Below are 12448 nucleotides of genomic sequence, written 5' to 3' on the forward strand. Positions count from 1 at the left end.
CATGCCAGGCTAATTTTGTATTTTTAGTAGAGATGGGGTTTCTCCATGTTGGTCAGGCTGGTCTCAAACTCCCGACCTCAGGTGATCCACCTGCCTCGGCCTTCCAAAGTGTTGGGATTATAGGTGTGAGCCACCCCATCCGGCCAAGTAATCAACTTCTAACCTATAACTAAAATCTGAGTACTGAAGACCTTCCTCTGGAGCCTTAGTAAATTTTCTTAATCTAAATGGGTCCAGGTGCCAGGGTGATTACCCTTATCTTGTCTCCTGCTAAATCATGGAGGTTCCTTTAGTCCCCAGTAAAGCTTGTTTGTGGAGGTCTAGGGAGTTCCTTTAGACCCCCAATAAAACTTGTTTAATCCTAAATGGGTCCTGTTAGGAATTCCTTTGTTATCTTGTCATACTTCAAGGCCCAGGGAAGACCTAGGCAAAACTCTTGGTGGGTTTTGTTACATTCCAGCCTTTGTATGAGGACATTGGCCCCATCAGTTTTTAATATTTATCTTAACCACTCAGTCAGTGCTGAAACAGTTGTCATGGAGGCCTGCTTATTCAGCTGTTAGTGAGACCTGGCCTGCCACACTTTCAGTCAACTATTGAAGGACACACAAGATTCTCTTTTATTATTATTATTATTATTATTATTATTATTATTATTATTATTAAAGCTGCCATGTTGAATCTCTTGAAAGTTAAGGCCCATGTAAATCGAGGTGGGGGAAACCTTTAGTGAACTACATCACTCTGTGTGCTTCCTGGTTCTTAGGACAGATGACTTTATTACAGCCTCTGAATCTATCAAATGTGTCCATTTTTCACCAGGAATGTTAATTAAAAATAAAATTATAGTGATAAATGTATTAGCAACCTAAAGTTTGGTAAGAGAAAGATATGTAAAAAACCTCTTTTTTAAAGACGAGGCTTAGGCATCCTGCTTCTTCTCCAACTCTTTTATCTCCATTTCCTTTAGGTTGGTAAGATACTTTCTTTATTTCTAGCAATTTCACCAGAGAGGTCAACAATCAAACTTACGGTGGTTTTACTTTAAAATGATAGGTAGGCAAACTTGTGGAGATACTCTTTTATTTAATTTATTCATTAAAAAAAGAGGTGGGATGAAAATCCACCCATTCCCACTACCCCTTACTTTGGGTATGGGTGCGAGAGAGGAGAAGTTCATGGTGATTGGGTGACAAGGAAAGTGATAGTACCATTGCTGATACAGGGAGAGTCCCAGAGAGAGAAACTAGCTGGAGGTTAGAGTATTACTTTCCTGTGGTAGGTGGCTTAAAACAGACATTTAGTGGATAAAACAACACACATTTATTTACTCACAGTTCCAGAGGCCAGAGTCTGAAATCAACATCACTGGCTTAAAATCAAGGTGACAGCAGGGCTGTCTCCCCTCTGGAGGTTCCGGGGGAGAATCTGTTCCTGACCTCTTCCGGGTGTCTGGTGGCTGCCAGCATTCCTTGCCTTGTGACCACATCGCTTCAATCTCTGCTTCTATGGTCACACTGATTTTTTCCTGTTCTTTGATGAAGTTTCCTTCTCAATCCCTCTTATAAAGAGACTTGAAATTGCATTTAGGGCCCACCTGGATAATCCCCAGGAAAATCTCCCTGTCTCAAGATTCTTAGTCACATCTGCATAGTCCCTTTTGCTATGTAAAGTAACATTCACAGGTTCCAGGGCTTAGAATGGGGACATCTTTGGAGGCCTTTATTCAGCCTACTACAGTCAGATAAAGCACACAGAAAAGCTGGTGTGGGTTTTATTTGTATGTTGTCTCTGAGTGTTTTCAAGGTTAAGATCTTTCAAGGACTAAAGAATATTGGTTAATTCCTAACATCCTGAGCTATACAATTAGTGTAGAAAGAATACGCCCTTTTGGGGTGGATGAGTCAAAATACTCACACTTTATTAAAACCATTATAGTGAATTTTACTGTTTGTTCTGTGGATGTTACAGAAAAAGGCATATTCTCTGTATAGTGTAAAGCTTAGTCATGCCTATTAAAGATATTTTGTCATTCCGGAAATTCTGTTTTATCTCCTAGATGTATGTTACAGTTATGTTAAAGTTTTATGTAAAGTTTCCTTTCCTTCCTAACAGTTTTTATTTTATGTATTTCCTCAGTGTATGGATTGTTTGTGATGCTTATGTTTGCACTGTGCATTGTAACTTTTACAGGTGTATAATAATCATTTTATCCATTTCATATTTTTTGCCATGATACATGATGCTGTGTCTGATTCTAATATTTCTACCTGTCTATTCCTCTAAATTTTCTATGTTCCTTTTGACCAGGGAAACTTTTGAATCCCTTTATTTTCAACATTTCTTTGTCAATTCGTTTATACATGTGCTTCTTATAATTAGTAAATTTAGATTTTTACCTTTTGATATAAGCTGATTTTATTTGCCTTTTTTTGTTATCTTTTAAGCCATTTATATTCACTATGCCAAGTCAGGTATAGTCTTATTTTGCCATTTTATTTTATTCTTTGTGGTTTATACTTACTGTTTTCTTCTTCCCTATACATTATATGTCATTGTAGCTCCTCTTTCTTCCTATTATTTTTTCTACAAATTTTATTCTATATTCCCATTTGTAGAATGCACATTTTTGTTCTACAGTTATATATATATTCACATATGCACATTATATGTATATAAAAATATACATATACACAGAGATTAGCATATATATGTAATTTTCAACCAATTATAAGAATGGAAGACTATTACTGGTTCTCCTATATAAGAGACTTATCACACTTTTACTTTCCTCTTCTCTACTCCTGCTCAACATGTATTAATTAATTAGTTTTTTAGGTCAAATTCCTGGTATTAAAAATATTATTTTTTATTTTATTTTCTTTCCCAAGAAATATATTTGATACAAGAATTATGTAACATATTGATGTTAAAAACTAGTAATTATTTATTAATGTGAATTTTAATGGATGCAGTACACATAATCAATTTTTAATATCATATTACCTCTTGAGATGTAACAGTTTTATTTATTCTTTTAGTCAGCTGTGGTATTTTCTCAAGTATCAAAGAATTATTTCCCCCATGAATGGTAAATGGATACTTGCATTTTCTGATTTCCTCTCACTTGACTAAAAGTTTGGTTGCCTGCAGAATTTTTTAATCTGAATTCGCTGATGGATACCTGGGTTGCTTCTACTTTTTAACTATTCTGAATAATGCTGCTGTGACAGTCATTTAAAAATATAAAAAAAATTAAGCATTTTTTTGGGGACTGAGATATGCTTAAGATAAATTAACCATCATAGGAGAACATAAAACATAAATATCTAAGGGTGAACTAGAACCCAAAGGCCTAGTCTGGGTCATAGGATATTATGGAATGAAAGAATAACCCATACTGATGAAAATGTCACTTACCAAGATGATGATCTTACAGTGTAGGAACAGCAATTGTTTAGCTACAAAATGTGTGGTAATCATGACTTGCAGAAATAAGACTGGTAAAGTCTCCCAGAAACTTTCAGGATTCCTAAAACCAGTCCTTTGTCCAAAAGTCATCTTCATAGTAGTGGCCATATCCTGAATGAAGTTACTCAGTTCTTAAGAGCATACTGTCTAGGTCTGAAGAAGAATACGGAGAGTGAAGGCAGATTCATGGACCAAGGAAGATATTCACAAATAGAACATACAATGGGGGATGAAATGATTTTAAGGAGAAATGACAATGACAATGACAGTGGTATGTAGTATGTAGGGGGGCCATTGCTTTCAATCTTGGAAGATGAGTTCAAGTTTTGATTGCATCAAAATGGAGTCACACTGAAGTTCTCAGGTAGAATTAGCCATACATCCTTTGCTTCTGGGTTTCTGAGATATTGGTGACAAAACTGAAACTAAGAACAGATCTATTGTCAACTATGATTGTCTTGCCTCCTTTTTTTCTCTGATCTTGTTTACTGCCTGAGTTTCCCTTCACATTTTACCACCACAACTAAGCAGGGACCTTATTTATTAAGGGTACATTCTTGCATATTTCTGCTTTAACATAGCATTAGTTAGTTCAGTATCGTATGAGTGAATTTGGGGGAGAAGTAACCAGTGTCTGTATCTGCTACAGACAATGAGAAGATTGTCTTACTGCAATATTTTAGGCATCTGCCTTGACTTCGAATGAACGTTCCTGTCCATACCCTAAAGGAGAAAAGAGTTGCACTCATATTATTAAATATCCTCTAGATTTTAGCGAATATATGGACTACTTTTTTTAAGCAAATCTGTAAGGGCAGTTGTCATTGTGGAGAACTGTGGGTTTAGTTAGTCTCCCTTAATAATACAAATGGAGAAAATTTAGTTGAGAACATTGTTGAATTTTTAGTGGTCCAGCGATATCTCTTTGTGGAGAGAGCATTTGCTTTATTAAATCTCCATTAGATAAACTCACATTTTTATAGGAGTGTTAAGAGAAAATCTCTCCAAGTGTTTAAGCCTGGGAAAATGAGAGAGAGGAAATACAGAACGAGGTCATGTGAACCGTCAATTGTGAATAAGAGGAAAAGTCAGAACCAAAGAAAAGCCCTTAGTGTGCAGAAGAGGTAGAGATTGAAAATGAGCTGTCAAAAAGAAATGCGGGGGATAAGCTAGAATAAAACACCTAAAGAATAAATTTCAAGGAAAAAGAGGAACATTAATAGGGCTAAATTTGATTAAACTTGACTGAGATAAAGGGAGAGAGAAAGGTGGTTTGATTTGGGGATTAGGTTATTAGTGACAATCTTCATAAGCAGGTTTCAAACGACTTGTAGTAGTAGAAACTGGGATGAAGGGAACTGTAGTAATTTAGGAAGGACAGGTAGAGTATCAGTATCTTTGAAAAGTTTGCAGGTGATGAGATCAATGAGAATAAATGATAACTTAATGGGGTGTCACAAAATCACCTTAAGTTGGCTGGTGAAGACTTGGGCAGTTTTTAGGAACAGATTATATTAATATTAAAAATAGGAAAAAAGAGCAAAGAAATATATTAGGACTTCTAGCTACATGGTAAACAATAAACTCTGGTTTTACTAAATATATTTGACACATATTATAGAATTTTCCTTGCAAATGTTGTTACAAATTATATGATATTTCCTCTTTTCCAATTTTCCTCTTACAAGGTAAATTCACCTAATCTTTATTATGATATATTTGTAAGGGGAATTGAATTATAAGCTTTCTCAGGTTAAAATAAGGACAAAACAAAAATTTTCTGATAAAATTTTCTTGCAGTATGCCACCATTTGCCAAAGGAAGTCAGCCATTGTAGCCTTTTCTGTAATCTTAAGTTTTTTGGACAGATATCTATTGTGCAAACTAAAATTTAGTTCTAATTCCATTCATATTAGATATATTTATTTAATACAGTATTCCGCTTAATACAGACTTTATAAATAGAATCACATTTTATTTTTAAATGTCATATCCTAGAGGAATGTTTGTACAAATCATTTAAAAATGAATAGTTTACAAATAACTTAGCTTTAGTCTTTAAGTATTTACATACATTTATTTATGATTTGTCACACATAAAAGGACATTCTTCTTCTTAATTATATCTTGCTGATACTTAATTTTAAAGTTTTTTTTTGTTTTAATTACACAACTGGTGGTGACAATATAACCCTAGATGGCTATGGTATATTTGTTCAGGTGCCTTGAGAAATACCAAAATTTTTGACAATGTTTTTTTTCCTTTGGGTCAGATCTTTTTTATTACAATGAAAGATAAATTTCAGTAAACTAAGAGACAGAGACTCTACACAGAGTTTCAGTTTCCCCTTAGCTCCTATAAAATGGAATGTCATGCTACTGAGATATCTCATGCACTGCTCTTGCCTTCTGTCTGAAGATGGGATTCATGAATTACCTGAATCATCTGGATCCCTAGAATTGGATTAGTGGCTCAGACAACTCCATCTTTTGGGACAGATGATAGAAGGTATCTATTTCCTACAGCTAGGTTTTTGCAGTAAGATTACATAACTCTTATTTGATCTTTCTCATTATTTTTTTCAGGACATAAATTGTGTTCCAATTCTGATATCCAATGATCTTACCTCATTTGGGGTAGGTTAAAGTAGATACTCATTAGGACTCTAAGGAGCATATTTTTCTACTTAGTGCAAACGTCAGAAAGTAAGTAATCATGTTTAAACTGACAAGAGCTTTAACCAGGAAGTTGCCTACATCACAAGATCTCCTTCCTGTGGTAGTGTGCATGGAGTCTTCCACAAAGAGACAGACAGATGCCTGCAATAACCGGCTTAAGAAAAGATAACCATCAATACCACTGGTTGATTTCATCTGCTCCTATGAGAAGGACAGATTGTACATGGTGCTGTCAGATGATCTCAGAACATAAAGAGATTTCCTGAGAGATCGTTATAATATTGGGATAAAACTTTACTGCAAAAATCTCATAGAGTGAATGAATGATAGAGGTAAACAAAAGTTTATTCTATTAAAACTTACATTTTGCAGCTTATTACAACATATGTTATGATTTGAATGTGTCCCCTCCAAAGTTCAATCATTGCCAATATGATGGTATTAAGAAGTGATTAAGATAGGTATTAAGATGGTCTTTAAGAGGTGATTAGGCCTTACAGTCTCTTCCTGGCTAATGGAGTTAAAAAGCCCTTACAAAAGAGGCGTCCCGCAATGCTTGGCTAGTTGCCCTTCCACCTTATGCCATGTGAGGATGCAGCAAGAAGGCCCTCACTAGATCAAATGCCTAGAGCCTTGACCTTGTATTTTCCAGCCACTGAAACTGTGAGAAAGTAATTTTTTTTTCTTTATAAAATAGTCTGTGGTATTTTGTTATAGGAGCACGAATGGACTAAGACAACATGCATGTAATTAACAAATGGGTCTTGGGTATAGGCATGAAGGAGATAGCTTTCCAGTTTGCTAAGAGATGTCTAAACTGGACATCCTTAACAGCTGCCCCTCCACCCATAACCATTGCACCGGTTTCTATATAAAAGGTCAGAACTCTGCCTTTTACTTCGAGAACTTCTTTTCTGGGAAGGTCTAACAGCTTACTATCCAACCCATTATAACTAGCTATAATATTCTGTCAAATTCCTTCAAATTGATTTCTCTGTCTCAGACCACCATAACCCATCACAATTCTGAAAGCTGAAATAGGATGAGCACCCTCTTCTCTACAGATAGCCCTATATGGAACCCTTGGCTTCTGCTGAGATAAGATTTGAGATAGGAGAAAGAGAAAAGCTAGTTTGCCAACCAGAGGGAGGATGATGTGTTCAGTTTGCAAATGGTAAGATTTAGATGTTCTGTAGACAACTAGAAGTATTGGAATCCAGGCTTGGATGAGAGGTTTGGCTTGGTACATCAATTGAGTAGTCATTAGTATAAAAATTACAACTGGGCCGGGCGCGGTGGCTCATGCTTGTAATCCTAGCACTTTGGGAGGCCAAGGCAGGTGGATCACCTGAGGTCAGGAGTTCGAGACCAGCCTGGCCAACATGATGAAACCCCATCTCTACTAAAAATACAAAAAATTAGCTGGGCTTGGTGGTGGGTGCCTGTAATCCCAGCTAATCGGGGGAATGAGGCAGGAGAATTGCTTGAACCCGGGGGGTGGAGGTTGCAGTGAGCTGAGATCGCACCACTTCACTTCAGCCTGGGCAAAAGAGTGAAACACCATCTCAAAAAAAAAAAAAAAAAAAAGACAACTGGAGCTAGAAGGCAGGATTGGTAGGCAAAGGGGAAGTAAGTGGAGAGAGATGGGGATTGAGGACCCAGTCTTGCAGCAAGAAGAGGAAGAGAGTTACTGAAGGAGATGTGAAAGCCAGGTAGAGAGGTAAGAGAAACCTATTACAACGGCCCCATCACAGGGGGCCTTCACAGTCACACAGGCTTCACATTTGGATCTCTAAATGAGATCATGTCTCTATATTTTGTGAATATGTATTAAACGTTTAATTTAGAAGCAATAAATATTTAAAACATACTGAAATGTTGGGACACTGTAAAAGAAATGGGCTGTGTGTAGTGGTCACACCTGTAATCCCAGTGCTTTGGGAGGATGAGGTGGGAGGACTGATTGAGCCCAGGAGTTTGAGACCAGCCTAGGCAACATATTAAGACCCTGCCTTTACAAAAAAAAAAAAAAAGTTGGGTATGGTGGCGCATACCCATAGTCCCAGCTACTTGGGAGGCTGAGATGGGAGGATTGCTGGAGCTCAGGGATTTGAGGCTGCAGTGAGTCATGATCACACCACTGCACTGCAGCCTGAGCAACAGAGCAAGACTCTGCCTCAAAAAATAAATAAATGAATGAAAGAAATGAAAGTTGCTTGGATTCTTACTAACTTGTGATTAGTCTTGGGAGGAAAATTAGAAGACTGTTCCAGGAACAGGCAATTGAGGTTGTCAGAAAAGTGAGATGTTGGCAAGATGTCAAAGAGAATAAGAACTGAGAGAAGACCATGATGTTCAGCAAGGGGGCCACTAGAACTCCATAAGAGAGAGGCCTGGGTATTGTGGTCAGAGGAAGTCAAGGAATTAGTAAATGCTAAAGAAAGTGGGACAGGTCTCAAGCATCCTTTAGAGAAGTTTGGCAATTAGAAGTGTGTGTGTGTGTGTGTGTGTGTGTGTGCGCGCGCACGCCAGTGTTCATTTTTACCTCTCATCTCCTATCTCATCCAATACCTAATATTCTCTAGGGAAATGGAATCCTGGCTGAAAGGCAGGCTTGTCCTTCAGCTGTCACAGTGCCCAAGAAGCGCACAGCAGGGAGTCTTTTTTTTTTTTTTTAAATTTACGCTGTGGTGCTGGGAGCCAGAGACAGAGACAAAAAAAGCTGTCCTGGAGTCTGTTGCATTGTGACTGAATCAAGTTATCTATAAAAGGACTCAAAATAGGAGTCTGGGTTCACAGCTTAAAGGAATGAGGCTAAACAGCAGAAAGGCTCAAGCAACCACTGGTGGAGGGGAACAAGTAAGAACTTGTCTGGAGAAGTCTGGCGCCAAGTATAAATACCCACTGCTGACATTCACACATTCCCAGCTTGCTTGTCCAAGGGCAAGCAGGAGTCATTTACAGCCTGAACCTAATAGGCATCTAATATTGTTATGTGTTGTCATATCTCAACCACCACCATCACCACCACTCCCAGCTAGCACTCACAGAGCACCTGACCTGGGATCAGTGCCTGAATCAGAAACAGAAACTTCTAGACTGATGTGGTTCAGTGGTGCTTACATAGGCTATTGTTTACTACATCTGCACCCACCTTTCAGGAAGCATTTGGCTTGTACATTTAGCTCTGTGGCCCACTGAAGAGAATTTCCTGTGGGCAGTGGGGTGAGGAACCCTGCCTTAATCTGTTTCTCAGGTATTCTTCTCCCCTGCTTTTATGTGTCAGAACCTGTATAATCATTGTAGGGCCTATCCAGGAGTAGGCAGAGCCAGAGTGCCCATTCCTGATGTCCACAAAGTACGGTAATGCACCCAGGCTTGATTTGGAGCCACTCTTGCCTTCCTGACTGTTTTCAAAGATATGTCGCATGGCCTCTGAGCCAGTGCAACAAGCCTTGCAGGCATTGGTATTTGCACAACAAATAGTATTTTTTTTTTTTGGCTTAAATAAGGGAAATAGGGAATATTTATCACAGCTATACATTTATTCATCATTTAATTCCCATTTATTTATTCATTAATTTATTCAAACACTTCTTAAGCATGCACCATGTGTCATGCCCATCTTAGAGGCCACAAAGGTTCTAAAACTATTACTTGTGGACAGAAAAAGAGACCCATATACATGTAGCATTATGTCTTATTGGAATTCAGAGCAGGAAGAGAACACATCTGGCTGGGGGCAGGATGAGGAAGGACCTGATAAATTTTCTATTGAACAATTACTCTAAATAAGTGTGCTTTCTTTAGATGGTAAGGATTAGACCAGGATTCAAGATTACTGGATTTTGAGTCAAAGTTTGAGCTCCTTGGGGGAAAATCTGCATATATGCAGAGTCATGGTGGTAATTACAGTATTAAGCCCCATTTTGGAACACTTTGATCTGATCTGATTCAAAATTTTATTTCCTGAAAGGTTTGCTCATGTCATATTAAGGTACTCTTGTCTTTTTATTTGCAAACTCATTTAAAATCTAAATACTGCTGCTCTCTGCTTTGGACTTGGCTGCTTTTCAATAACAGGAAGGAACAATACTGTTTTCATCAGTTTTGTACATGGGCCACGAGAAGGCAGCATTTTACTTCTTTTAAGATTTAATGCTGGTCTACAAAATGCTGAGCTGTGCCTGGAGGGCTTTGTGGTGTGGAAAATCTTCAGAAATGTTCAGTGAAACCCAGCATCCTCTGATTCATCTTTAAAGAGGAGAAAAAATTATTCTATGTGACTCTATTACCAATCTTTGGGCACAGAACCAAATAATTCGGCCAGGCTCTCAGTCTTCATGGTTGAAAAGTTATCAGGAAATTTAAAATTTAAATTCATAGTTACAGAGCCACTAGTGAAAATTTGCTTTTTAATGAAAAATTTTTTTTTGGTCTACATTTTCACCCTCTGCGGTGGGGGCTCTTTTAAATGCCCCTGTTTAACCATACTGCATCCAGAAATGTATACATATCACAAACCTGTTGGTAATGACACCAAGGCAAGCTCCGTTTCCTTTCCCATCATCGGTGGACCACACCTACACCAGCGCTTCCTTCTGCGCATCCTATGGCACCCGTCTACTTTCTGCTTTGGGAATCCCCACAGAGGCTAGCACAGTGCTGAACTTGTAAAACGTACACAATAAACGTTCTATTTCTTGAACGACATTGGATGATAATGCAATCTCTCTCTTGTAAGAGAGAGGAGAAAGAGAGAGAGAGAAGTGAGAGGAGAGAGAGACAGAAGAGAAAGGTGAGGGGGGAGGGGAGAGAGACACAGAGACAGAGTCAGAGACAGAGAGAGACCAAAAGGGAACAGCTGGCAGCAGCAGGGAGGCAGGCTTGAGGAGTTGGTGTCTGATTTACGTGGGGGCCACAGATTGGTTTGATCAGGTGTGAAGTTTACAGGGCGCTGGGAAGGCTGGTTGCCCCACCCTAATCTTATGCAAATGGGCTTTCCACTTGCTCAGCGCCATCTCGTCTACTCTTTACTGTACACGTGGCTGGCAAAGAGAAGGGAAGATAGAGCTCTCGTTTTGAACATGTAATTCCAGGTAGTATTTTCCTATTGGCACAACTTCACGCATTTGCCTGTGCAGGCTTCCACTTCGCTTGCCTATGTCTGCAACTTCATTTTACAGTCTGCTCTTTGTTAGGAAAACAAATGATTTGAGGGCTGCTTTTAATTAAAAGGTAAAACTTACCAAGGACTCCTGTACCCTCACTATCTGCCTAACTAATTTCTTCTTAACTCCTATATCAACAAAACCCCACGATAATTTTTTTCCTATGAAAAAATATTTTATTTGAAGAAATTAACGTAAGCTGTGTGTGGTGGCTCACACCTGTAATCCCAGTGCTTTGGGAGGTCAAGATGGGAGGACCCCTCGAGGCGAGAAGTTTGAGACCAGCCTGGGCAACATAGGAAGACCCTGTCTCTATAAAAAGTTAGAAAATTAGCCGGGCATGGTAGTGTGCACCTGTAGTCCCAACTCCTTGGGAGGCTGAGATAGGAGGATCATTTTTGGCCCCAGGAGTTTGAGGTTACAGTGAGCTGTGATTGTACCACTGCACTCCAGACTGGGTGACAAAACAAGACCCTGTCTCCAAAAAAAAAAAAAATTAATATAAAATGTGGAACTTTTCGCTAGTGGAGATGAATGAATATACTGTGCAGATTTATGGAAGTATGACATCTAAAAAGACCAGAATAGTTCCTAAGTGAAAAGCGGAAGGATATGCCCTAGAAGAGGGCATAACTGAATGTGTGGGGAAGGTTTTCAAACTTTACTTCTTCTAATGCAAACCTCTGTGACCCCTTACAACCCCTTCCTCTGGATGGGTATCATTCCATATCATTACAGGCAGTACTGAGAGGGAGATTACAAATTGTAAACATTTTCAGAGGTGGGAGGAGAAAAGATGGAAACCATAAAGACACAGCTATATAAAAGGTTAATTGCATATATATTTGGTTATGGTAATTTCTGTATATATGCTTCATATCTTTTACAGTCAGTGTGTTAGTGGCAAATAAATACGTAGAACTTACTTCAAAATATTTTGTTGTTTCTTAAAGTGCCTAATTGTACCATAGTCCAACACGAAGCCCTTTTATAAGAGAGATGGAAGAGCATGCAGAATCTAATCATTAGATTCAATAAGTAAATATGTATTGAGTACTGATGAAGTACCAACTAAACATTATGATTCATTTTGATAAAACAAGCCAGTCACATTAGTAAGAAACAGC

The sequence above is a fragment of the Homo sapiens genome (assembly GCF_000001405.40).
Source record: "Homo sapiens chromosome 15 unlocalized genomic scaffold, GRCh38.p14 Primary Assembly HSCHR15_RANDOM_CTG1".
NCBI lineage: Eukaryota > Metazoa > Chordata > Mammalia > Primates > Hominidae > Homo > Homo sapiens.